General features: G+C 43.1%; 1 protein-coding gene and 1 long non-coding RNA gene across 21 annotated transcripts in view, besides 5 other annotated features; both read right to left on the bottom strand.

Moving 5' to 3' along the window:
- RBPMS (RNA binding protein, mRNA processing factor) overlaps window positions 1-27,935 on the bottom strand; it is a 187,716-nt gene that overhangs the window by 151,963 nt on the left and 7,818 nt on the right. The window lies entirely within an intron of this gene.
- LOC112268025 (uncharacterized) lies at window positions 419-4,980 on the bottom strand. Its single transcript, XR_002956700.2, has 2 exons — window positions 4,734-4,980; window positions 419-2,972 (listed from the first exon to the last, which is right to left on the bottom strand). It is a non-coding gene; the product is annotated as an uncharacterized LOC112268025 (long non-coding RNA).
- Window positions 7,664-8,104: an enhancer, noted in NCBI's record as "heart enhancer 24". NCBI's record gives its function as "activates a minimal c-fos promoter by transgenic reporter assays in zebrafish embryonic heart {active_cell/tissue: heart(embryonic)}" and the evidence as "EXISTENCE:transgenic organism evidence [ECO:0001131][PMID:20075146]".
- Window positions 14,847-15,141: a silencer, noted in NCBI's record as "tiled region #541; HepG2 Repressive non-DNase unmatched - State 14:Gen5', and K562 Repressive non-DNase unmatched - State 21:Repr". NCBI's record gives its function as "represses a minimal TATA promoter and a strong SV40 promoter by Sharpr-MPRA in HepG2 and K562 cells {active_cell/tissue: HepG2 | K562}" and the evidence as "EXISTENCE:reporter gene assay evidence [ECO:0000049][PMID:27701403]".
- Window positions 22,217-22,915: an enhancer, noted in NCBI's record as "OCT4-NANOG-H3K27ac-H3K4me1 hESC enhancer chr8:30254895-30255593 (GRCh37/hg19 assembly coordinates)". NCBI's record gives its function as "activates a minimal SCP1, AML or CMV promoter by ChIP-STARR-seq in naive and primed H9 embryonic stem cells {active_cell/tissue: H9 hESC(naive and primed)}" and the evidence as "EXISTENCE:reporter gene assay evidence [ECO:0000049][PMID:30033119]".
- Window positions 24,314-25,011: an enhancer, noted in NCBI's record as "NANOG-H3K27ac-H3K4me1 hESC enhancer chr8:30252799-30253496 (GRCh37/hg19 assembly coordinates)". NCBI's record gives its function as "activates a minimal SCP1, AML or CMV promoter by ChIP-STARR-seq in naive H9 embryonic stem cells {active_cell/tissue: H9 hESC(naive)}" and the evidence as "EXISTENCE:reporter gene assay evidence [ECO:0000049][PMID:30033119]".
- Window positions 25,711-26,409: an enhancer, noted in NCBI's record as "OCT4-NANOG-H3K27ac hESC enhancer chr8:30251401-30252099 (GRCh37/hg19 assembly coordinates)". NCBI's record gives its function as "activates a minimal SCP1, AML or CMV promoter by ChIP-STARR-seq in primed H9 embryonic stem cells {active_cell/tissue: H9 hESC(primed)}" and the evidence as "EXISTENCE:reporter gene assay evidence [ECO:0000049][PMID:30033119]".

The raw sequence follows: 27,935 nt of genomic DNA, 5'->3' as shown, positions 1-27,935 counted from the left end.
TATCTATCCACAGAAATACAATCTGTATCTCCATTTACTTGGTATTTTCTTTCTTTTTTTTTTTTTGAAGCAGGGTCTTGCTCTATCACCCAGAATGAAGTGCAGTGGTGTGATCACGGCCCACTGCAGCCTCAACCTCCCAAGCTCAAGTGATCCTCCCACCTAAGCCTCCAGAGTAACTGGGACTACGGGCACACATCACCATGTCCAGTTAATTCTTTGGGTTTCTTTTGTTGAGACAAGGTCTTGCCATGTTGCCCAGGCTGGTCTCGAGCTCCTGGGCTCAAGCAATCCATGCATGTCGTCCTCTCAAAGTGCTGGGATTACACACATGAGCCACTGCACCAGACCTATTCAGGTCTTTTCTGTCCTTCAGAATGCAGTATTCTTCAAGCTGTTCTTGCAAATTTGTTTTTCATTGCTGTCAAGAATGGTATCTGTTTTTTATTATGTGTTCTAATTGATTAGTACAGGGTGAGAATCCCTTATGTGAAATGACTGGGACCAGATGTGTTTCAGATTTTGGAATATTTCCATATTTTAAAAATAATGAGATATGTTGGGGATGGGAACCAAGTCTAAACACAAAATTCATTCGCTTCATATACACCTTATAAACATAGCCTGAAGGTAGTTTTATAAAACATTTTTAATACTCATGTGCATGAAAACCAAGTTTTGACTGAAACCTGTCACATGAGGTCAAGTGTGGAATTTTCCACTTGTGGTACGTCAGTGCTCAAAAAGCTTCAGATTGTGGGGCATTTTGAGATTAGAAATGCTCTCTACCTGTACTACTTTCCTATGCTGACACACACACACACACACACACACACACACACATTTTTGAGATGCAATCTCACTCTGTCGCCCAGGCTGGAGTGCAATGGCATGATCTTGGCTCACTGCTACCTCTGCCTCCCAGTTTCAAGCGATTCTCCTGCCTCAGCCTCCTGAGCAGCTGAAACTACAGACGTGCACCACCATGCCCGGATAATTTTTGTATTTTTAATAGAGATGGGGTTTCGCCATGTTGGCCAGGCTGGTCTTGAACACCCAACCTCAGGTAATCCACCCACCACAGCTTCCCAAAGTGCTAGGATTATAGGCCTGAGCCATTGCGCCCAGCCATATTTTTAAAAATAAAATTAAAACCCTGTGATTTTTGTGTTTTTCTCATCTGGACATCTTACTGAAGTTTATTAGTTCTGTTTTTTTTTTTTTTTCAACTGATAATCTTGGATTTTCTATGCAGATGATGACATTTACAGCAAATGATAACAGGGGCCTATCTTTAAAAGGACAAGCAAAAAGACTAGGGAAAATATTTCTAAAATATATTAAAGACAAAAACAATCAATGTTTACAACGTATAAAGAGTGCCAAGGCCAGGAGCGGTACTCATGTGCATGAGTACCTGTACCACTAAAACAGATTTGGGAGGCCGAGCATTTTGGGAGGCTGAGGCGGATGGATCACTTGAGGTCAGGAGTTTGAGACCAGCTTGGCCAACATGGTAAAACCCAGTCTCTACTAGAAATACAAAAATTAGACAGGCCTGGTGGCACATGCCTGTAGCCCCAGCTATTCAGGAGGCTGAGGCAAGAAAATCGCTTGAACCCAGGAGACGGAGGTTGCAGTGAGACAAGATCACGCCACTGCACTCCAGCCTGGGTGACAGAGTGAGACCCTGCCTCGAAAAATAATAATAATAATAGTAATAAAGAGTGCCTACAAAATCAAAAATGCAATCTAACAGAAAAATAGACAAAAGATAACCAAATTGTGGAAAAACTAAAAATAGCTAATGAACACTTGAAAATGATACACTTCTTTAATAAGAAAAATACAAAACACAACAATGAAATGCCCTCTTCTAGCCAATGATTACAGAGTAAGAAGGACAATCTCTAAGCCAGGCCAGGCGGTGTGCACCTGCGTCCCAGCTACTGGGGAGACTGAGGCGGGAGGACCCCTTGAGCCCAGGAGTTTGAAGCTAGCCTGAGCAACATAGCAAGATCCCCTCTCTTAAAAAAGAAAAAGAAACACAATCTCAAATGTTAGAAAGGGTATTGAGAAATGGACAAGCTAGATGGGACTATAAATTGATGTAATTGTAGAGAGCAATTCGGCCTTATCTACTCAAAATTAAACGCACATCACTTTCATCCAGAAATTGCATTTCTAGGAATCTCAATATTAAACAAGTTCTAGAATTAACAAGTTATATTATAAATGACATATGGTTAAAAAAGATTTTTAAACAGCACATAAGTTGTTCAAGTATATATGTAGTTATTCTTCATATACCTATGTGTTACGTATGGTAACACATATCAACTATACCAACGTACATATCGTGTTTCATGAAGAACACATAGGCAAAATAAAATTCACATTTTTAATTACAAAAGTACACATAGTTGAATTCTAAAAAGTTAAAATGTTACAGCAGGAAATGGGTAATATATTTTGGAACATCCATACATTGAAACACTATGTGGCTACTAAAAAAAGAATGTGTTACAGCTGCACATACTAACATGGAAGTTCTAAACTTTAACGTCAAGTTAAAATTTAAAAGAGGGAGCAAAAAAGATAAAAGACATATTTACAGACATGTTAAGTACATAAAAAGATGCACATTAAACCGTTAACTGTGGTCACACTTCTGGACAGCAAATGGGGATGGGGTTGGGAAATTGAGGGGGAATGTACATGGCATTGTTTACTGGATGTACTTCCATACTTTTACATGTTTAAAAAGTCACAATTACTGAAAACTTCATAATTTTTCAAAAACAGAAAAATGAGATGACATGATGACATTCATGTTTTTTTGGTTTGCAACTTTCTAGAAGTTTCTATAAAACAGGTTTTCTGAGACATCTCCACGTTGATTTCAACCACTGATAATCAGTTATCTGGGACTAAGTAGTGAAGGTTCACTGTGAATCAGCACCATGAAGGCTCTAAGAAAAAACAGAGGGCATTGGACAATTCCAAATGTTCTGGTAAAAGCTTAAATATCCAGTCATCGTGATATATTTGGTTTTCTTTCTACAGAAGTAAAATATTTTAACATTGTAACAAACCTACCAGTGTTCACAAACACAATCAGAAGATTTTACTGTATTCTTAAACTAGCTTAAAAAAATAAAAATAAAAAAAAGGTCCATCTGTCTCTTAGAAGAACAAACTCCCCCAACAAAAAACAAAACAAGGCCAGGAGCAGTGGTTCACACCTGTAATCCCAGTACTTTGGAAGGCCAAGGCGGGCAGGATCACTTGAGGTCAGGAGTTCAAAACCCACCTAGCCAACATGGCAAAACCCCGTCTCTACTAAAAATACACAAATTAGCTGGGCATAGTGGTGCATGCCTGTAATCCCAGCTATTTGGGAGGCTGAGACAGGAGACTTACTTGAACCCAAGAGGCAGAGCTTGCAGTGAGTCGAGATTGCACCACTGTAGTCCAGCCTAGGCGACTGAGGGAGACTCTGTCTCAAAAACAGAAAAAAAGGCAGGGTGCAGTGGCTCACACCTGTAATCCCAGCACTTTGGGAGGCCGAGGCAGGCGGATCACGAGGTCAGGAGATCGAGACCATCCTGGCTAACACGGTGAAACCCCACCTCTACTAAAAATACAAAAAATTAGCTGGGCCTGGTGGCACATCCCAGCTACTCGGGAGGCTGAGGCAGGAGAATGGCATGAACCCAGGAGACGGAGCTTGCAGTGGGCCAAGGTCGTACCACTGCACTCCAGCCTGGGCAACAGAGCGAGACTCCATCTCAAAAAGAAAAATTAGCCAGGCATGGTGGTGGGCACCTGTTACTAGGGAGGCTGAGACATAATAATGGCTTGAACCCGGGAGGCAGAGGTTGCAGTGGGCAGAGATCACACCACTGCACTCCAGCCTGGGCGACAGAGGGAGACTCTGTCTCAAGCAAAACAAAACAAAACAAAGGACAACAACAACAAAACAATGAAAATCACCAAGAGGGTAGGATAAGGGGCCAAAGAGTCTGTTAGACTGGAAAGCAACACTGTATGTCCTATGGATTAACATTTACACAAACATTAACTCCACTAATGGACAGCCTTTTCTACTCTTCATCATTTTGTTTAGTTTATCTGGCAAGAGGGATGCAAAACAAACCCAAGAAGAAACAGGGAACATCGCTAGGGTATACACAATTCTCCCAACTCATAAACCACTAGGGTATTGGGAAACAACACTCTACATCCTGGCTCTCAGGGATTTCCCAATTCTGAAAATCCCACATTGCAATGGCACATATCACTTGGAATGTTACAAAGGGGATTCATTGTGTTACGTTAAAACTTAGCCCCATACACAGTAATTTTAAGTATAAGGCTAACACAAAAACAAATTGACCAACTTCAGAAGCACTTCTCTTAGATGAAGACATCAGTATGTCTTTTCTTCTATGCAACATGCTCCTGGAATAACTCTTCCAAGGAGTCATCCTTTTCAAAGACCAGAGGAAAAGCTGTCAAACATCGCACAAGGCAGAGTGTGTACACACACTGCCCTAACACACCAAGCAGTCTTATTCCAGGTTTTCCCAAGGCCAGTCAATACAGACTTTCCAGCCAAGCCTATACTCCCAGGTCTGTCTTGGCCTCTCCCCATCCAAGACTCTTGAGTTTCCTGAAGCACCCTCCCAGAACCTGATATCTGATAATTGATTATCCATAAAAATGCTTACTGGATAGATGAAAGAGATGATGCATTATCAGAAGTGAATGAAGCTCGGTATGACTGAAGCATAGGGTCTGCAGGAGAAAGTTGCAGATGAGACCATCTGGCAAGTGGACACAGTTAAAGGTTTTAAGCAGAGTGGCAGAGTATATTTCCATTCTGTGAAAGGTTAGCTGGCTCTCCTGAAGACAGCAAGGACTGAAAAGCAGACAAGGCTGGAAACAAGGAAAGTGGCTTAAGGCTGAAATGGCTGTGCAGAAGCTTTGCTGGTAGCCTGAAATAGGACAGCAGCAGGGTAAAGGTAAGTCAACAGATTTGAGAGATATTTGGAAAGTAGAATTGTTGAATCTGGTGATGGATTAGTCAGGGAGGGGAGGGGAAGGGCTGGGCACCTAGGTGAAGGCTGTGACTCCTAGAGAGGAGGAACACAGGGGTGCAGGTTAGATGGTGGGGATAAGGGGATCATTTACTGGACACATTAGCATCCAGCTAGAAGTGGTGTAGACACTTGGATCTTTGAATCTGGATTTCAGGACAGAAGTCTGGGACAAAGGACACCATCCATGGGAATGCAGGACCACGAGAAATGAAGAGGCAGGACGGAGTGCCAAGGAACACTATCATTTACAAGCCAAATTCAGGAGGAAAGGGGAAAAGGAGAATGTAGGGGTGGGGTCAGGGAGGAAGAGGAAAGTCAACCAAGTGTGGTGTCATGGAGGCCAAGGGAAGGGAACATCAAGGATGGAAAAATCCAAAATGTAACCTCTGTCAGTGCTGGGAAAAATAGTGAATTTTGTTTCCTTCCTCATACTTTATTTTCCCAGGATCCTCAATAACATGCAGTTTATTATTAATCAGAAAAAAAAATCTGTTTAAGAAAATTACAAAAATCTGTTATGATACCCTCATAAATTAAAGAGCCACAGATAGTGTACTATCCATAGGGCATGTGTTTTGAATTTGTTTTCTGGGTCTGGTGACGGATTAGTACTGATCTTTCTATCTGCTCCGGCCTCATGACCAGTGATACATATTGCCCAGCCTCCTGGCCAAGGTCTGGGATCCCAGCAGAGCAGAGCTGGCTGACCCATACACAGATGGCCCAGTGACCTTGGGTTCATTAGCATACTGTTCTAATCAAGTGAGCTAACCAGCAACAGACCTGGCCTACTTTGTCCCACTTCCCACCACTACTGAGGCCAAAGTTCCTCAACTCTGCACCATTTCCTATAAACAAGAGATTGCCTATAAACATCCACAGATACAGGAGGTCCAAGGCTCACCAAAAATATTTGTTCATTGTTTCTAAATAGGATTTATGTTTACTTACAAGCTATCTGCCCTGGCGAAAAGAAGTGTATCATTAATAAAAATGGCGACAGCCACTGAGCCAGCATAGACAGCAATCAATGACCCACTGCCTGTTGTTCTGATGACATCAAAAGGAGAGGAGGGGGTGGGGGAGGAGGGGGCACGACAAAAATAAATATTTCTAAGGTCAACAAAGATTTAAGAAATAACACTCTGGCTGGGCACGGTGGCTCACACCTGTAATCCCAGCACTTTGGGAGGCTGAGGTGGGCGGATCACCTGAGGTCAGGAGTTCAAGACCAGCCTGGACAACATGGCAAAACCCTGTCTCTACTAAAAATACAAAATTAGCTGGATGCGGCTCACGCCTGTAATCCCAACACTTTGAGAGGCTGAGGCAGGCAGATCATGAGGTCAAGAGATCGACACCAGCCTGGCCAACATGATGAAACCCAGTCTCTACTAAAAATACAAAATTAGCCAGGCGTGGTGGCACATGCCTGTAGTCCCAGCTACTCAGGAGGCTGAGGCAGGAGAATTGCTTGAACCTGGGGAGGCGGAGGTTGCACTGAGCCGAGATCATGCCACTGAACTCCAGCCTGGGCAACAGAGTGAGACTCTTAAAAAAGAAAAAAGAAATAATGTTCTAACATTCTAACCTTGTGCCACTTTCTTGATGCTCCCCACCGCACCAAATATTGGTATTTATCTTACAGGATTCACCTGTGATAGCACTCTTCTTGGAGCAGGCTGAGAGTAGCTATCATTCTCTCTACTTACAAAATTTGAAAAGTATAGGGGTTATTTTACTTGACCTCAAGGGATCCAGAAAGAGATGCCCACTCTCCTTCCAGAGAGAGAAATAGGGATCAATTCGAACAATGCTGGCCAGGCATGGTGGCTCATGCATGTAATCCCAGAACTTTGGGAGGCCAAGGTGGGAGGATTGCTTGAGGCCAGGAGTTTGAGACCAGCCTGGCAAAAACCTATCTCTATTAAAAAATACAAAAATTAGCTGGGCATAGTGGTGCATGCCTGTACTCCCAGCTACTCAGGAGGCTGAGGCAGGAGAATCACTTGAACCTGAGTGGCAGAGGCTGCAGTGAGCCAAGATGGTGCCACTGCACTCCAGCCTGGGCAACAGAGCAAGGCTCTGCCTCAAAACAAACAAACAAACAAAAACAATGTCAATTAGAAAAGTCCAGCCTGCTTAAAAAACTGGAATGTGTTCCAGACACCACCTTGGACTTCAGTGGCCCCATCTTTTTAAGTGAGGGTGTTAAACAAATACGGTTCTTGGGTGACCTTCCAGCTCAAAAGGCCTATGATAGCCTAAATCGATGTCATTATACTGACAACCTGGGTAGGAGGGAAAAATCTTGGAAAGTAGCTTTTGAATATGTAAATGTCCATGTTTACATACTATTGTTGGAAATGTCTGTTTCATGAGAAGTTAACAAACTTTTATAGACCTCTCTATTGAATATGTGTGGATTTTAATTCATTGGTTTAAAAAAAATGAAGTACTATTGGAATGTTTTATCTACTATTTTTCTCTCCTCCTCAATACAGCACTTAAAAAAGAATGAACCAACTTCAAATAATTCTTGGGATAAGTAGCCTATCTTTCCAGGAAAAGAAAATGTAAGAACTTAACTTGGACTGGAGTATCTCTGTTTAAATGGATTTTACTATAATTGGTTTTGAGAGGGCAAGAACCATGGAGATGAGGTGCTAAAAATAGATGTAGTAAAGTTGGGGGGAAAGTACGTGCGAGACTGACACTAATAATTACAAAAAAAAAAAAAAGTAGTGTCATTCCTATTAAAATAAGAAACCTGAGCCCATTCCGGGAACAGTCATGGACTGCCACAGTCATCTGGGCTCAGGGCTGGCCCTGTTCCCCACAAAGGTCCCTCAGCCTCAGTGGACAGCCTTATAAGGCAACCAAGCTCAGAGAGAAGATAAGAACACCAAGCACTTAACATTTCCAGAGGCCTCTGCAAATATTAACTCATTAATTCTCACAGTGTTCTGTGAAAGCCCTGCTACTATCAGTTCCAAAAGACACTGGGGAAGAAAGATGCCTAATTACAACTAATTATAGCAAGGTGTGTAAGGAGCTGGCAGCCCTTCCTAGTAGGCACCATGTTCACCACCAGACAAGCCTCGACTTTGTCAGTAACTGAACAAACACTTGCCTACTATGGGACAGAAAGGAGGAGAAACATTTCCTTCTTCTGTTTTTGTTTTTGTTTTTTTTTTTTTTTTGAGACGAAGTCTCACTCTATTGCCCAGGCTGGAGTGCAATGGCGCGATCTCGGTTCACTGCAACCTCCGCCTCCTGCGTTCAAGCAATTCTCCTGCCTCAGCCTCCTGAGTAGCTGGGATTACAGGCACAGACCACAACGCCCAGCTAATTCTGCATTTTTTTAAAGTAGAGACAGGGTTTCACCATGTGGGCAAGGCTAGTCTCGGAACTCCTGACCTCGTGATCCACCCGCCTTGGCGTCCCAAAGTGCTGGGATTACAGGCATAAGCCACTGTGCCCGGCCTAAACATTTCCTTTTTCTTTTTTTTTTTTTTTTTTTTCTGAGACAGGGTCTTGCTGTCACCCAGGCTGGAGTGCAGTGGTGCAATCACGGCTCACTGCAGCCTCTGCCTCCCAGGCTCAAGTAATCCTCTCACCTCAGCCTCCCAAGTAGCTGAGACTATAGGCACATGCCACGATGCCCAGCTAATTTTTAAATTTTTTGTAGAGATGGGTTTTCGAGATGTTGCCCATGCTGGTCTCGAACTCCTGAGCTCAAGTGACCTACCCACCTCCACCTCCCAATGTGCTGGGATTACAGGCGTGAGCCACCATGCCCGGCCAAGAGGGAAATTTCTCAATTTTGACAGTAAGTAAGGAACACACACCACCCTCCGTCCTCTGTCTCCCACAGAATCTCCAGAAGATTCCAATCCTTAGAATAAGACTCCTACTTAATGGCCTCCAGGAGGAGCAAAACACAGGCCAGGGTCTGGAGTAAAGACACATACAGGAGGAAGTGAGAAGTGCTTTTCCCAAGTTTGTTTCTATTCGCCAAAGGGACACTTTCACCTTCATGAATAAACTCAGCAACTGTGATTACAGTGCCAGTACGAAATAAGACAGAGATCTTTACAGTCTGGAGAGGATTAAGTGGCTTCATTAAAAATTATTAAGAAAATTTCACGGCCAGGCACAGTGGCTCACACCTGTAATCCCAGCGTCTTGAAAGGCCAAGGCAGATGATCACTAGAGCCCACGAGTTAAAGACCAACCTGGGCAAAGTAGCAACACCCCATCCCTTAAAATAAATTTTCTTTAAATTAGCCTGGCATGGCTGTGTGCACGTGCAGTCCTGGCTTTCCAGGAGGCTGGGGTAGGAAGATGTCTTGAGCTTGGGACTTAGAGGCTGCAGTGAGCTATGATTGCACCACTGCATTTCAGCATGGCTGACACAGTGAGATCTTGTCTCTAAAAAAAAACAAAACAAACAAAAAAAAAAAAAAAGGAAAAAAGAAAATTTCAATGTCAGTTATCAAATAATGTTTATTGACCATCTATACCATATGACATTTCATGGTCAGGTGCTGGAAATATAAAAGAGTAGCAGTTAATTTTATTTATATTTATATATACATATCTATACACACACACACACATACACACACACCTATATATATATTTTAAAGTCACCCAGAAATATAAAAGAGTAGTAGTTGGCCAGGCACGGTGGCTCTTGTCTGTAGTCCCGGCACTTTGGGAGGCCGAGGGGGGCAGATGACAAGGTCAGGAGATCAAGACCATCCTGGCTAACATGGTGAAACCCCATCTCTACTAAAAATACAAAAAATTAGCCGGGCATGTTGGCACGTGCCTGTAGTCCCAGCTACTTGGGAGGCTGAGGCAGGAGAATCGTTTGAACCCAGGAGAGGCTGAGGTTGCAGGGAGCGGAGATTGTACCACTGCACTCCAGCCTGGGCAACAGAGCGAGACTCCGTCTCAAAAAAAATAATAAATAAAAGAGTAGCAGTTAAGTGTGTGTGTGTGTGTGTGTGTGTGTGTGTGTGTGTGTGTGTGTGTGTATTTTAAGTCACCCAGAATGTAAGCTTTGCCAAAATGTTTAAGTCCCCATGGAGGCAGGGATCTTAGCTTGGTTCACTGATTTATTCCAACTGCCAACTAGTGCCAGGCACATAGTAGGTATTCAATATATACTTGTTGGGTGAATTGTCTTTTAAAAAACTGAGCTCAACATCTAAATGAATACACGTAGACACATAAAAGAATATAAGTAAGGCTGGGTGCGGTGGCTCACGCCTATAATCCCAGCACTTTGGGAGGCCAAGGTGGGCAGATCACAAGGTCAGGAGATCGAGACCAGCCTGGCCAACGTGGTGAAACCCCGTCTCTACTAAAACTACAAAAATTAGCTGGGCATGATGGTGTTTGCCTATAATCCCAGCTACTCGAGAGGCTGAGGCAGGAGAATCGCTTGAACCAGGGAGTCAGAGGTTGTGGTGAGCCGAGATCGCGCCACTGCACTCCAGCCTGGCAACAGAGCGAGACTCCGTCTCAAAAATAAAATAAAATAAAAAATAAAGAATGTATTAGGACGCATATTCACTGTGCTAAGTCAGTAACTGACTCAACAGTCCTATTGGGGGAAAGCCCAAAGGATAAGCTCGGACAGAAAAAAGTAGAAATAACTGGAAAAGATTAAAGAAAACACTCTAGGCCGGGCGTGGTGGCTCACACCTGTAATCCCAGCACTTTGGGAGGCCGAGGCAGGCAGATCACCTGAGGCTGGGAGTTCGAGGCCCACCTGACCAACATGGAGAATTCCCTTCTCTACTAAAACTACAAAATTAGCCAGCCATGGTGGTTCACACCTGTAATCCCAGCTACTTGGGAGGCTGAGGCAGTAGAATTGCTTGAACCCAGGAGGCAGAAGTTGCGGTGAGCTGAGATCACACCATTGCACTCTAGCCTGGGCAACAAAAGCAAAACTCCATCTCAAAAAAAAAAAAAAGAGAAAACGCTCTAGGCACTAGACATTGAGGGACCCAGAGGTGGAATGCTTTGTAAGAACAGACTGACATGTAAAAAGCGTCAACAACCCAAATATATGTTAACAGATGAATGGACAAACAAAACATGGCACATCCATACAATGGCGGTATCATTCAAACAATGGGAAAGGTACCAATTCATGCTACAAGATGGATGAGCCTTGAAAACATGATGCTAAGTGAAAAAAGCCAAAAGACCGATCTTGTATCATTCCACTTGCATGAAATGTCTGAAACAGGCTAATCCATAGAGGAAAAAAAGCAGATCAGCAGTTGCTTTGGGTTAGGGAGAGGAGGAAATGGTGACTGATTGGTTAATGAATTTGGGATTTTTTTCAGGGGTTGACAAAATGTTCTAAAATTAGATAGTGGTGATAGTTCCACAGCTCTGAATATTCTAAGAACTGTTCAATTATACACTTTTTAACTCGAATTTTAAGAGGTGAGAGAGTTATTTCTCAACATTGGGTGTTACTGTCACCAGAACACAGTGGTGTGCAATTGCACAGCACTCCACTGTCTTCAGAACACTTTCACACACATCAAATCTTTGATCAAGGAGCCTCCAAATGTTTTTCCATGCAACTGATTTATGGAGTAGAGCTTTTGATTTTTGTTCGTTTTGTTTTTGAGACAGTCTCGTTCTGTTGCCCAGGCTGGAATGTAGTGGTATGATTTTGGCCCACTGCAAACCCCTTCTCCTGGATTCAAGCGATTCTCCTGCCTCAGCCTTCCAAGTAGCTGGGATTACAGGCACCCGCCACCACGCTTGGCTGATTTTTGTACTTTTAGTAGAGACAGAGTTTCGCCACATTGGCCAGGCTGGTCTCAAACTCCTGGCCTCAGGTGATCCGCCTGCCTCAGCCTCCTAAAGTGCTGGATTGCTGGTGTGAGGCACTGTGCCCAGCTGGAGTAGTGCCTTTGGAAAAGGAATCTGCCATTCGTGTTAGATGGACTAAGGGTGGGGAGAGTCCAATGAGGTTCTGGGGGTCTAACTTAAGGGTCTAGACAGGCAGGATGGAAGAAGTAGAAAAGACTAGATTTGGGTAAGAGTAAGCCCAAGGCCATTTAGATTTTCTTAAACTAAGGATCCTGTAACTGGTCATCTCCTTGACAAGATTAGTTTCCACATTACTGATTGCTGAGAGCTTACACAAGTCCTGTGTTGCAAGCTCTTCTGTTTAGGGAGGCAGGATCCTGAGAGATATGGGCCTAAGGAAGAGAACTCTTGTTCCCTTGAAGCAAACTTCTCTAGTACCTCTAAACTGGCAATGAGGTCTAGTGAAAGATGATGGATTTTGAACTAACTGACCAGGTTCAAATCCAGGCTGTTATTTATTAGCTGTGACCCAGGGCAAGTTATTCAACTCACTGAGCCTCAGTTCCTCCTCTACTGGGAGGAGCAGTGGTGGATAGCTACCCCACAGCACAGTGAAGATGACTGAGTTCACACCCAGTGATGTGAATAGTACCTAGAACAAAGTCAAAAAGGTCCCCTTGTGACCATCAACTATCAATCTCACATCAACTGCGCTCTTCCTCCCTAGCACTTATTACAGTTATTCTCTATTTATCGGTGCTTCACTGTTTAATATACACTTTCAACTACACTGTAACTTCCAGGATGAACAAGGACAATGTCTGTTTGCTGCTCATTGCACCAGCAGGGCCTAATCCAAGTAGGAGTTGAGTACCTTTGGGATGACTAGATCATCTAGGAATTATACATTGGGCTAAGAGTCACCACGGCTGATAAACAGTCATGCTGTTCTGAAGAGGCAGAATGAAGAAGCACCCCCCCACCCAAAAAAAAAACAAAAAGAAAAAAAAAAACAAAAAACAGGAAAAAATAAGCAAAGTTATGGAGTAAATGGCTTCATCCAGAAAGTTAAGGCTGGGCGTGGTGACTCACGCTTGTAACCCCAGTACATTGAGAGGCTGAGTGGGGATGATCACTTGAGCTCAGGAGTTCAAGACCAGCCTGGGCAACATGGTGAAACTCTGTCTCTACTAAAAATACAAAAATTAGCTGGGTGTGGTGGCACGTGACTGCTATTCAGGAGACTGAGATGGGAAAATTGCTTGAGCCCAGGAGGCAGAGGTTGCAGTAAGCCGAGATTGCACCACTGCACCCTGCTGGAATAAAAAAGAAACTTAGGGAAGAATAACCAAAGAAAAATATTCCTTATTTTTCCAGTATGGTCATCTAAACAGCTTGCATGGCCTTGCATACTAGGACCCAAATGAGTTTAAAAAAAAAAAAAAAAAAAGACTTAACTGGCATTGGGTTCTGCAGGTGTCTAACTTCTTCCCAGGTTGTGTATCAATCACCTGTGGAACAGGCCTGATTGGAAAACCAATGACATTGACAAATAATAACAATTTTTTTTTTTTAAGACAGGATCCTGTTCTGCAGCCCAGGCTGAGGGCAGTGGCGCAATCATGGCTCACTGTGGCTCTGACCTCCTGGGCTCAAGTGATCCTGATCCTCCCATCTCAGCCTCCTGATAGCTGAGACTACAGGTGCACGCCGCCAGGCCTGGCTAATTTCTGTATTTTTTGTAGAGACAAGGTTTTACCATGTTGCCCAGGCTAGTCTCGAACTCCTGGGCTCAAGCAATCCTCCCACTTGGTCTCCCAAAGTGCTGGGATTACAAGCATGAGGACCACGCCCAGCCTAAAAATTCTTTAATATATCCCCAAATACATACAATTCATTCATTAAAAAGTAATAGATACAGCTTTTCCCTGCTCCTGTAAATGTGCTACATTCATTCTTACTTCCAAAACTTTTTTTTTTTTTTTTTTTTAAAAGAGATAGGGCCTCACTCTCTTGTCCAGGATGGAGTGCAATGACAAGACCACAGTTCACTGCAGCCTCGACCTCCTGGGCTCAAGCAATCTTCCCACCTCAGCCTCCCAAGTAGATGGGACTACAGGCACACACCACCATGCCTGCTAATCTTTTTTTTTTTTTTTTTTTTTACTTTTTATAGAGGCAGTGTCTCATCATGTTCCCCAGGCTGGTCTCGAATTTCTAGACTCAAGCAATCCTCCCACCTCGGCCTCCCAGCCTCCACCTCCCAAAGTGCCGGAATTGCAGACATGGGCCACCATGCCAGGCCCCAAACTTTTATGATGGTGAAACTCTCCTAAGCCAGTACCCATTTCTATTTAAATATTACCAGTTCCTCAAGGTCCACCTTTCTTTCTCAAAGCCTTTTATTCTGGTCCACACTGATCTCTTTCTGAATTTCTAAGCCCTCTCCGCCCATATTACACAATGTTGTCCATTTAGGTAGGATCAAATGTTATTCTCCCATTGTTTCCTGTGTTGACTGAGGTCTTTCCAAGAAGGCAGGAAAACTGCTTCTCAGTAACAACTTCTTCATCCCCCAGAAAGGCCAAGACAACAGACTCTCAGGCTGTCTTTAACAAATATCAATGACTGTACCCAAGGGAGTCATACATACCTCTTCCACAACTAATGTTCTCTTCACCTACACCATCTGCCAAACAAAACCAAGGGCTAAGGGAAAAGAAGACATCTTTTGTTTTGCAAAAGAGCTCCCAATTCCTTTGAGAAAGGTGCTATGATGCATATAAATTTAGCACTCCATGACCTCAACTGGAATCTACTGAAATAAACACTAAATGAGATGCAAATTCCACTCATATATAACAATCGGGATGAGTCAATACTGAGGTTTCCATTACATCTGCTCATTTCCTAGAGTCACACTCGAACACATGTGTGTAGGCTTTGTGGAGGGCATGCACTTCTCAGAATGTCTGTTAACAATTAAGAAGGCCTGTGGGCTGGGGTTAATGGTGATTGCCCTGCCCACATGGTGAGACCGGAGCTGCACTCCTCAGACAGGATTCCACTCTTGGTATGTTGCGGGCATCACAGTGAAAACAGCCCCTCCAGGGAAGATGCAATTGCCCTGAATGGTCTCTCCTTCATCCTGAGAAATACTTAAGGGGCTGCAACATGCTGGAGCTTCAAGGCAGCATCCTCAATTTGAAGAGGGAGGAAAAGAATCATTTTCACAAGGCGATATACACCATGGTCTGTACCTAATAAAAGGCATTGTGGGGCAAACCATGGTAGCTCATGCCTGTAAGTCTCAACACTTTGGGACGCCAAGGCAGGAGGATTGCTTGAGGCCAGGAGTTAGAGAAAAGTCTGGGAAATGCAGTGCGACCCCATCTCTACACAAAAATTTAAAAATTAGCAGGGTGAACCAGGAGTGGTGGCTCACGCCTGTAATCCCAGAACTTTAGGAGGCTGAGGCAGACGGATCACCTGAGGTCAGGAGTTCGAGATTAGCCTGGCCAACATGATGAAACCCCATCTCTACTAAAAATAGACCAATTAGCCGGGCATGGTGGCAGGCGCCTGTAATCCCAGCTCCTCCGGAGGCTTGAGGCAGGAGAATCACTTGAACCCGGGAGGTGGAGGTTGCAGTGAGCCAAGATGGTGCCATTGCACTCCATCCTGGGTGACAAGGGTGAAACTTTGTCTCAAAAAAAAAAAAAATTAGCAGGGTGTGGCAACACAGCTCTGTGGTCCCAGCTACTCAGGAGGTTGAGGTGGGAGGATCGCTTGAGCCCAAGAGGTTGAGGTTATAGTAAGCTATGATCATGCTACTGCACTCCACATCCTGGGTGACAGACAGAGACCCTATTTCCAAAAAAAAAGAAAAAAAAAAAGGCATTGAAGCATTGTTGATTCAACTGTAATTATAAAATTCTTTCCAAGGATATACTTGGCTCACTGTCCACCAAAACTTATGTCAAACTGACCAGTGTGTCTCTGTTCTCATCTCAAGAGCAAACCAACCATGTGACCAGAAAAGTAGATGAGAGAATAACATATCCACTGATTCTGAGACATGTTTCCACACTGTAACATCTATGAAATCAGGATGCATCTTACAATAAAGTTTTAATTGGCAGTGTTATTGCTTTACCTGACAAATGTTAGAGCTGACTCAAATTCTGTACTTGCACTCACAACACCTAAAATACTGGCCTCATCGTCAGACATTAATAGCCAGAAAAATATAGCAAGCACCTAACACACAAAAAGCAACACACTTCACGGTGTCCGATAAACTCAAGAATGACACCCCCAGAAATTATCTGCTAAGCATTTTTGTATCCAGTGAAGTATAAGAAACACAACTGGGATATGTCTTCAAATGAGGTTAAAAAAAAGTCACTATATAACATCCAGGTGTTATACAGATGAGGCTGGAATATTAATTCTGAGTCACGGATGGGACACAAATATGAAAAACTCCACAGTGAGGGAACAATCTTTGGACATTTTTAAATGGCAGGGGCAGGGGATGCAAGGAATGGGCCTGCTGATTTTCTTAGTGGAAATAGTGTTCTAGAGAAGATTTGGCAATAAACATCAAATATCTTTAAAAGAATGCATGCCCTTTGACCCAGAAATTCCACTTCTAAGAGTTGAAGCTAAGGAAATCACTAAGGGTGTATACACAGATTTAGCTAGGAGGATGTACAGCACTGTTTCTATCACTTAAGCTGGAAATAAGTTCAATAATAAGCCCAATAATAAGGGGTGGGTCAAATACATTAAGGCACATCCATACTATAGCACAATAGGAAGAATTTAAAATTTGGCTGCAGGAATGTATCCAATTGGCCAGATGCAGTGACTCACGCCTGTAATCCTAACACTTTGGGAGGTTGAGGCGGGAGGATCACCTGAGGCCAAGAGTTCGAGACCAGCCTGGGCAATATAATGAGACCCTGTCTCTACAGAAAAAATAGAAAAACTTAGCCAGGCATAGTGGTGCACACTTGTAGTCCCAGCTACTTGGGAGGCTGAGGTGTGAGGATGGCTTGAGGCCAAGAGTTCAAAGCTGCAGTGAGCTATGATCGCATTGTGCCACTGAACTCCAGCCTGGAGGACACAGCAAGACGACGACTCAAAAAACAGAGAGAGAGAAATGAATCCAATGGCATGCAAAGATGTTCATAAAATACTGTTAAGTGAAATAAATGGAAAACCTATTATGATCTCATTTTTGTTCAAACAGATGATAGATGCCATGTGTGCACACACAGAGAAAAGAACATGTAAAAGATACGCAGTGAGGTATTAACACTGGTTGTGAGGGAATTATAGAATTGTTTCCTTTTTTAATCTTTTTTTTTTTTTTTTGCTTACTTGTGTTTTCTAATGATGGTGAGGAGAGAAAGGGTAACTATTTAAGATTGTATTTTAAAAAACAAAAACAGTGAAAAGAAACTTGAACACAATGTGATCCAATTAGATGAACAAATGGCTTATGAATCTTGGTAGCTTCAATTTAAAATATAAAATTAAAAACCCCATACATTTATCATTCTTTAATCCCTAAAATAGAAGCAATACGTTACTATCTTTCCTTTGAGAAATGCTGGGAGAAATGACCAACAGAAATAAGCATAAGACAGGGCTTAAAATAGGCAAAAATATCCCAGGAGAAAACTTTCTGCTCCACACAGAAGCTCTGCTGAGGACCACCTGGGGTAGAAGGTAGTTCTCCATATTTTTAACACAACAAAATAATTGCGAAAATACCCTAGAGCTTTCGATAAAGGCAAACTATTTCAGGGCTTTACATGAACAATAACGCTTACTCTTTATGTCAGCCCTATATGAGAAATTTCCTAATTTATAAGACTAAAAATTAATCCATTAGGCGTGGGGAGGGAGGAAAGGTATTTACGGCAAGCGTTTTTGTTTTTGTTTTTGTTTTTGTTTTGAGACAGAATTTCGTTCTTGTTGCCCAGGCTGGAGTACGATGGCGCGATCTTGGCTAACTGCAACCTCCGCCTCCCGGGTTCAAGTGATTCTTCTGCCTCAGCCTCCCGGGTAGCTGGGATTACAGGCACGTGCCACCATGCCCAGCTAATTTTGTATTTTTAGTAGAGATGGGGGTTTATCCATGTTGGCCAGGCTGGTCTCAAACTCCTGACCTCAGGTGATCCACCCGCCTCAGCCTCCCAAAGTGCTGGGATTACAGGCATGAGCCACCCCACCTGGCCACGGCAAGACTATGATTGTGATGTCAATTTGGAAAGTACAGGGCTTGTTAGTTACGTGGTGAGATTTCAGAGTACTGGTTTAAGGGAGGAGGGACCCAGGTCAATCTGCTGCATTTCCACGCCTGAGTCTCCTGCACTGAGCAGCACCCAGGCTTTGCCTGGGCTGACTTTAAGTACCAGTAGATGGAAAAATAACACTTTTCTTTGGGAGGCCAAGGCAGGCAGATCACCTGAGGTCGGGAGTTCGAGACCTGCCTGACCAACACGGAGAAACCTCACCTCTACTAAAAATACAAAATGAGCCGGGCGTGGTGGTGCATGTCTGTAGTCCCAGCTACTCGGGAGGCTGAGGCAGGAGAATCGCTTGAATCCAGGAGGCGGAGGTTGCAGTGAGCTGAGATCGTGCCACTGAACTCCAGCCTGGGCAACAGGAGCGAAACTCTGTCTCAAAAAAAAAAAAAAAAAAAAAAGGAAAAATAACACTTTTTCATTGACTTCAAGGTAAGCTCACACCAATAGGATTCCTCTATCCGTCTAATCACAACCCAAGATATTACAAGAGAAATTCTCATGTTGATTAAAGGCCAGTGGGGTTTAATGGAATGTAGAAGAGGGGACATTTAATGGTTAAAACATCTTGGATGTACATTTACCAAAATCAGAAACTCACAGTATTCCAAAGCCCCACAGCACTTTTGAGTCTTTGCTCCCTCCCTACTGGCTTTTGTTTTTGTTTTGAAGATACAGAGTCAGCAGGCTGGGTGCACTATGACCAAATGGCAACAGATGCTAGTCTTGCAAAGGGCAAGAACTTCCCTTTGATGATCTAAGAACATGGAGAGAATGGACAAACATGCCTGCTCAGGACATTTTCACTTTGATTTGGGGTTAACCATCAGTTACATGAATACCAAGAGCTATAGAAAAAGCAGTTCCTGCACCCAATAAAATCAGACACGCTACATTCCTGAATCCATCTCGACCACAAATGATCCCAGGAAACGTGTCTCCACTGCGTATGTTGTCTTATTCGCCATGCTTTAGAAGGCTGATACACAAATAGTTCTTAATGCACGGGATCTGAGAACCATTCTTCTGACTCAATATTGCATGGTGGCAAGCAGCTTAGAGAATGGATCACACTTTTCTTTTTTAATCTTTTATTTTAAAAATACAAGCAATGTGGCCGGGTGTGGTGGCTCATGCCTGTAATCCCAGCGCTTTGGGAGGCCAAGGCAGGCAGATCACCTGAGGTCAGGAGTTTGAGACCAGCCTGGTCAACATAGTGAAACCCCATCTCTACTAAAAATACAAAAATTAGCTGAGTGTGGTGGCAGGCGCCTGTAAGTCCCAGGTACTTGGGAGGCTGAGGCAGGAGAATCGCTTGAACCCGGGAGACAGAGGTTGCAGTGAGCTGGGATCATACCACTGCATTCCAGCCTGGGCGACAGAGACAGAGCGAGACTCTGTCTCAACAACAACAAAAAAAACAAGCAATGTTACCACAGATAATAACAGGAAAATAACTGATACTTTCAGAATGAAAAACATATGCCAATCGTATACCATATACAACCTCCTCCAAATGAATCTAATATATATTTCCATATTTGTAAATTGGTATCTTACCAATTGTTACAACGTTATACGTTAACCTTTCTCAAATTAGGAGTTTAAATGATGTATTAAGAAAATGAGGGCCAGGCGTGGTGGCTCAGGCCTGTAATCCCAGCTACTTTGGGAGGCTGGGGAGTGGACGGAGAATCACTTGAGGTCAGGAGTTCAAGACCAGCCTGGCCAACATGGCGAAACCGCGTCTCTACTAAAAATACAAAAAAAAAAAGTAGCCAGGTGTGGTGGCGTGTACCTGTAATTCCAGCTACTCGGGAGGCTGAAGCAGGAGAACAGCTCGAACCCCGGAGGCGGAGGTTGCAGTGAGCTGAGATCGCACCACTGCATTCCAGCCTGGGCAATAGAGCAAGACTTCATCTCAAAAGAAAAAAGAAATGAAGAAAACCGGCTGGGTGCAGTGACTCACATGTGTAATCCTAGCACTTTGGGAGGCTGAGGCAGGCGGATCACCTGAGGTCAGGAGTTCAAGACCAGCCTGACCAACATAGTGAAACCCCGTCTCTACTAAAAATACAAAAATTAGCTGGGTGCGGTGGCAGGCGCCTGCAGTCCCAGCTACTTGGGAGGCTGAGGCAGGACAATCACTTCAACCTGGGAGGCGGAGGCTGCAGTGAGCCGAGATCACACCACTGCACTCCAGCCTGGGCAACACAGCGATACTGTCTCAAAAAAAAAAAAAAAGAAAAAAAAAAGAAAACCTACCAACACTTCAGACACTGGGATTTTCAGTGAGAATAATTTTTCCCTATCAACTCTGGAACTTACAATGATCACATCTCTTTTGAATACTGCATTGCTGGCTTCATATCTAAGATAAAGAGTCTTCCAAGCCTTTAATATATAAACAAAACCCTTTCATAATGGGATCTGAGTGGCAGCTTTAATCTTATCTTTAATTCTGTAAAGCATCTGGTGCTGTGGAGTAAATAAACCAGCCCCTTACCCTCAACACAGAGTCCCCATCAAACACATGAGCCAGCCTTTCTAAAAATATAGTTACAATGAAAAGCCTACAAACAGTGGTGGTGTAACAAACAATGCTTTTTCTTAGAAAAGATGTTTGTCGTTTTCAAATGTTCTAAAAACGAAGTAAACCACAAAACCATTTTCAACAAGACGTGTGTTTCTAATTATTAGTGAGATTTATATTCCTTGAAAAAAAAAAAAACAGGAGTGTCCCTGGAAGAGCAGAGAAGTTCATTGCTCCAAGACAGCAAGAATTTATAAAGGCAAAATAATTTTGATAAGACCTATCCCCTTTTCTAGCATTTTAAATTTGGGATCTCCTTGCACAAATACTGATACAATGAATGGTCACTTTGAAGTGAGGAGAGGAGGGAACATTCCACTGCAGGGCAAGGCTCAACATTTCTTCATTACAGACCCACTACCTCGCACAGCAATGATTATTAATTCCCTCTTCAGCTTAGATTGAGAAAAGAAGTTGATAGCAACATAAAAGGTGAGGCAAAATTAATATAAGTAGAGCTTATTTTGGCCAAGCTTGAAGACTGCAACCCAGGGGCTTATGCATTCCAATTAAAAAGCAGTTACAAGTGGCTTTTTAAAGGCAAAAAAAAAAAAAAAAAGGAGCAGGGACAAGGGAGTGGGCTGATATAAAGTTGTTTGCCAGGAATTCTCATTGGTTTACACAAATTATACTGATTAGTGATTGGCTATATACATTGTTAAACTATAGAGTGAGTTACAGTGTCCAGTGCAGCATTATTAGTTAATTTATAGCTACTTCTAGCAACAGCAAGCAGTGAATACAGAGAGGTGAATATATAGCTCAAGAGGGGAGTAGGACCTGACTGTGGTCTCATTTTAAAGTCCCTCTGGACCTGATCATTTAAAAGGACTTGCATTCCTCAAAGTTCATTTTCTCATTAACACAGTAATTCAAATCTTTGATTTATTTACTGGGTATTTATTAGCAAATCATAACACTCTAACCTCTACCTATGGATAAACAGATCATAAAGATATATATGATAAATCGATCATAAACATATATACAGGCCAGGCACTGTAATCTCAGCACTTTGGGAGGCCGAGGCAGGCGGATCACTTGAGATCAGCAGAGTTCAAGACCAGCCTGGCCAACACAGTGAAACCTCGTCTCTACTAAAAATAAAAACAATCAGCCGGGCATGGTGGCAGGCACCTGTAATTCCAGCTAATCAGGAGGCTGAGTCAGGAGAATCACTTGAACCCAGGAGGCAGAAGTTATAGTGAGCTGAGATCACACTACTGCACTCCAGCCTGGGTGACAGAGCAAGACTCCGTCTTGAGAAAAAAAACAAAAACAAAAAGATATATATGACAAATAGATCTTGCAAAATCCCTCTCATACTTTCCTCATTTTGTATTTATTTCTGCATTCTGTTGATCATGAGCTTTTTCAAGCAAATTCTGGAAGCCCAGGTTAAAGGTGAACATCACATTGGGTGTCGTTCTGCCCAACCTGGTTTTTTCTTTCCTTTAGGGGACTTGAAGCCACGCACTCCTGAAGAACCACCACCTAGGCTCCCAGGGTCTTTTCTGCACTTCTTTGGATCTCACAGTAAGTGTTCCCTGGCATTAGATACTTGGGAGGGCGTGCAAGGAGAGAATGTTCTCCATTCTCCCTTCCCCCATTAGAATGGCTAATGCAGAGATTCATTTCCTAGCTCTGGTTTTCTGCATAACCCCTCCTCAAAACACAAAGACTCAGGATAGGCCTTAAAGAGTCCTTTTGTTTAGAAAGGGTCATTTCCTGCTGTTCTCTCACACCCAGAGACTCCCACCCAGTTCTCAAGGAGAGGCACTCATTTGCTTAGGAAAAAACAAAACAATTTCAGGTAAGAAAAGCAGTCTTAAGAAAATCATTTCAAATATACAGGAAAGAGTTTCCAAAGTCTAGTGCTTCACTAATTTTTTCTTATTTTGTTAGAATCGTAATTTAACAAAACAGAGGCAAGGTCTAAGGGTTTTCACTTAAAAGGCTTAAAATTAAAACCATTCCCCCCAAACAGCCCACCCTGGATGTGTCTTGGCACGCCACGGCAGCTTTCTGCATCACAATGGGGAAATGGAAAGTGGAATGAAAGTGGAAAAATGAGATTTATGGTTCTTTTAATGCACCACAGGTGCTGTCTATACAATCCCTACCTTTTAGTTAAGGAAACAGGTTAAAATGACTTGTCAAAGACAAGCAGCTTCAGTGGCTTGTCCTAGGTCCCTTAGAAACAAAGAGATAATGAGATAATAAGAGAGAAAACAAAGAATACTCATGAATTGATTGGTCAAGAAATAACTTCTATAAGGATTTATATACTATTGGTTCTAAGACTATCAGGTAATGGACGATGGTTAAGTTAACCAAGTTTGTTGAAGGTGAAGTGTGACATAAATGCTATAAATGAGGATAATCCAATGGTCTGCATTTTCATCGATGCATTTTCACCAACTAACTAGTCTGCTCAACTAACAGGTGACTTGTTAGCCTGATGCCGTATGTAATGATGACTTACATTTCTTTCATCCTGAAATGTCATCTGGTCTGCTTTACAATGAATAGAAACAGCTCCTGAGTCTGTGAGGCTGACACGTGGGCATAAATTGTGGCTGTGAGGTGGCCCCATAAGGGCTCACAAGGCATATTAGAAGGTCCTTCATGGCTACACATATAGATGGCTTAAAGGCTGGATTCTTCTGGCTAAAGCCAGCATTATGCTGAGCTTCAGATCTTTTTCTTCTTGTAGGCAAATTGAGGAAGGTATATTGAGCTGGAGGCTAGATCCAATCAAAGGATCAGAAGTGGTAAGTCTATCTCCAAATCAATTCCACCTGGGTTATTAAATTAACCCTAACAACCTAACAGTCACATCTGCAAAACAGGAATCAAATTCACCTTGCCCTACTGGTACTTAGGCATTCCCTACACTCCAGGCCCACATCCCTCTCCTCGTTCTGTGGAATTAGTAGGTTTCCCATCCTAAGTGGACAAAAGGGAAGGATTCGTTTATGTGTGAAAAACTGCTGCATACCCCGACAAGGGCTCTTATCACTTACCATCTGAACATTTCCAGCTTAAAAGTGTGTGAGATGACAACTGCGGTTTTGTATGCAATAAAGTGGGGATGAGGACCAGAAATGATCATCTTCAAGGCAGAAATATAAAGTTTAACCTGAAAACTGCTGAAAAAGGTTTATGATGATACAGTGTATCAGACAGGCTTTGGCGTCTGTAAAGCAGATTTACATTCTAGTCAATTCACAAAAAAACTTATTGGACAGTTCTGGGCATTGTCCTAGGCATCTGAGGTTTGTACAGTGTTAAACAAGGCAGGCAGTCTGCTGCCAGGGAGTTACATTCCAAGGGTACCAAATAAGTACAATAAGCATACAAGGCAACGTCAGGAGGTAAGAAGTACTATTTGGAAAATAAAAGGGTTGGGAATATAGGGCTACTTTAAACTTGGAGGTCAAAGGTCTCTCTGGGGTGACATCTGAATTGAGATCTAAATGAATGGCAAGGATGAGGCTGATAATGTCTGAGTGTAGGGCTTTCCGGGCATACAGAATGGCTTGCACAAAGGCCCTGAGGCAGGAACAAGTTTGGCAAGTTGGAGACACCTAACGAAAGCCCAGGCAGCTGGAGCATAATGAATGAGGCTGTGATTCTTGGCAGATGAGGTCAGAGAAACCAGCAGGGCCCGGATCACATGAACCTCATATGCCACTGGAGAATTTTAAGCTCCTATCCACCAGCTGTAAAACCTCAGACCAATTACTTAATCTCTCAGAGCCTTAGCTTTCTTATCCCAAAACATGGGATGGCAACACTTCATATGGTTTGTCAAAGAGCAATGTTAAAAGCAGAGTAGACACCAACTCCATAAATGTTTAATCAATCCATTAATATGCAAAAACCATTAAGTGTTTTTACAGGTTTGATTACATCTGGATATGCACCTGGTCTTTTTTTTTTTTTTTTTTTTTTTTTTTGAGACAGAGTCTCACTCTGTCCAGGCTGGAGTGCAGTGGTGCGATCATGGCTCACAGCCGCCTCGACCTCCCGAGCTCAGGCAATCCTCCCACCTCAGCCTCCTAAGTAGCTGGGACTACAGGCACACGCCACCACGCCTGGCTAATTTTTTTTGTAGAGATGAGGTTTTGCCGTGTTGCTCAGGCTGGTCTCGAACTCCTGGGCTCAACTGATCTGCCTGCCTCAGCCTCCTAAAGTGCTAGCCTCATGAAGTGCTAAGTGTGAGCCACCTGGCCCAGCCACTGCACCTGATCTTCAATTCTCCCACTGATTTTCTTAAGCATATTAGGAAAAGTAAGATTGAAAAGAAAATTTGTGCAATAAAAATGGTCTCGTCTATAATTCCAGCACTTTGGGAGGCCGAGGCGGGAGGATCGCTTGAACCCAGGAGTTTTAAGACCAGCCTGGGCAACACCACAAGACTCCATCTCAAATAAAAACAGGTAAAAAAAAAAAAAAGAAAAAGAAAAAGAAAGAAAGAAAGATAAATAAATTTTAAAAACGGTCTCAGGGTTCACTCTAACAATTCTTTTGCTTATTACTGGGAAAAGTCTTGGAGGTCCTAGAAAAAGAATTTGGCTTGGGAAGGTAAGAGGAGAGCAGTGGATGATCTGGTCTGGGAGTAGCTGACTAGATTCCAGCCCTTTGCTGATTTTCTTCCTTCTACTCAGATAAGCAAGACCCTGAGGGGCAGCAAGTACCAGTGGTTTCAGTCCCCTGTCACCAGGCATCCTGCAGCAGGCACAGGACGGAAGTACATGTCCTCACTCCCACCTCCCCAAACACATCCTGCCTGGCTGGGAGGGATACTGTATTTAAAAACAGATGACTCTTTGGAAACTCACACATTTTAAGTCCCGTAAATCACACATGCTGGGTAAAGTAATTACACTTTTGTAGCACTTCCCCTCTGAGCACAAAGGAAATTCTGCTACTTCTGTAATTAGATAGCACTTTCTGTGTACACTTTCTCCCAGGGGGGGCCTCCACTGTCTATCCTATAGGTGGGCGTAAGAGGAATTTTCACAAAACAGGATCCTGCGGATTCAAGAAAAAAAAAAATTGGGTAGTCTTTAGGATTTCTCTTAGAACAACATTGGCCACTGCCAGCCTATCTACCCTGGTGACATGAGAATCTGGGAAAATCAAGAGGAACGTCACAAAAAAATCAACTCATGAGAAATAAAAGTTAATTAAAAGTAAAGTTGTCCTATAACTTATTTGCAGAGGTTGGTGAGCCAGACCTCATTTTGGAGATTCTCAGATGTCTCCTACCTTTGCAAAACCCTAAAGGCTGACAGAATGGAACTGGCTAAGCATTCCCTTTGCATTTTAAATTTGTGTAACAATACTGTATTACAACCTGGAATGTGAATCCATCTTCTCGGTGTGACTGGCATTTATCACTGCCATTTCCTTTTTCTCTTTAGCATTTACACAATATGCACCGTCACCATAATAGGTGCAGTAGAGTTAAAACCTAAGAGAAATACAAATGCAAGTTGTTTTCTTTTTAAGTTCCTGGACTACTTTGAGCTGACACTTAGCTGGGCTGAAAAAGGCAGCAAACTTTTAAAGTATAAATTGAATAAAATGAAAATATGGCCAGGCATGGTGGCTCATGCCTGTAATCCCAGCACTTTGGCAGGCCGAGGCGGGTGGATCACCTGAGGTCAAGAGTTTGAGACCAACCTGACCAATATGGTGAAACCCCTGTCTCTACTAAAAATACAAAAATTAGCCAGGTGTGGTGGCGTGTGCCTGTAGTCCCAGCTACTTGGGAGGCTGAGGCAGCAGAATTGCTTGAACCCAGGCAGTGGAGGTTGCAGTGAGATGGCGCCACTGCACTCCAGGCTGAGTGACAGCGCAAGACTCCGTCTCAAAGAAAAAAAAAAAAGAAAATGAAAATATAACCCACAGATTAGATGTCTTTGGGCTGCTGGCCAAAGGCTCATCCTACTCTTCCTTTTCCCCAAAAAAGTCAAAAAAGATAAAAGCAACTTAGAAATTTTTTCCTGTAAAAAAACTCACGCCTCTCCAGATTTTATGGTAGCTTGATCTTTCCTTTTAGGTGCAGGGTTGGCAAATGGAGAGTTGGAGAAGTAAAAGCCTGGGAATTAATGGCAAGTTTGGGAGGTTTATAAACAGGTTCCTGAGTTTTGAGCAAAGCAAAAAAAAAAGCATATGAGAAAGACCATATATCAGATTTTTCTAAGCTCCCCCTCAGGCTTTCCAATGGCTAAGTATACCAAACCCTTTAAAAACAGGCAGATTATATGTAATACATTTTTATGTTCCTAAATTAATTTTTAAGTTTCCATTTTTCTTGATTATTTTCAATTCTCTCCCCTTCCCAAACACTTTTTAACATGACTCTAAATTTTCACTAAATTTTGTATCTCTTTCCTTGCTAACCCTCACAACGTTTCCTAGAAAGCAGGAATTCCATTTTCTGGGCACTCACTCCCAGTATGCACGCTTTCAATTATCAGCTCTATGTTCTTGAATTGTTCTGAAAATCGTATTTCAAGATCAGACCTCTCCTCTGCACCCCAGACTCAGTAACATCTTCATCTCCTAGGTACCTTCTTTTCTTACCCTTTCCACATCTCTATTTTCTATTCCTACAAATACAACCGTCACTTAGCTAGCCACCCGAAGGAGAAACCCAAAAGGCTGCTAGGCTGTCTCCTTGCCTTCTCTCCCGCACATCTGACAGTTATCTAGGCCCTGAACACCTGGCATCTCTGCCTCAGTTGCCACTGCCAGGCTGCTGCCTCACTTTGAGACCAGGACTCTTGCAGCAGAAACCTCACTGCAAGAATGGTTCTCAACAACTTTTCCAAAATTCGCCACATCCCCCTGCCCATTGGGACGTCCTAGATTGCTGCCTTCTGGGGCACATCCACCCTGGTGCCCCATCAGAGGACAAAGTCCAATTCCCTAATGCAGAGGCAGCTCTTCCACCCACTGTGGGCCAGTGCCCCCTCCCCAGTTTCATTCTTCCTTCCCCTTCTTCTCTCCTGCCATGCCTTGCTTGCTCTTCCCCAAAAGGGTCTTTTG

Source organism: Homo sapiens, chromosome 8 (assembly GCF_000001405.40).
Source record: "Homo sapiens chromosome 8, GRCh38.p14 Primary Assembly".
NCBI lineage: Eukaryota > Metazoa > Chordata > Mammalia > Primates > Hominidae > Homo > Homo sapiens.
The sequence above is the reverse complement of the archived record's forward strand: the minus strand, read 5'-3'. Positions and strand labels throughout refer to the sequence as shown.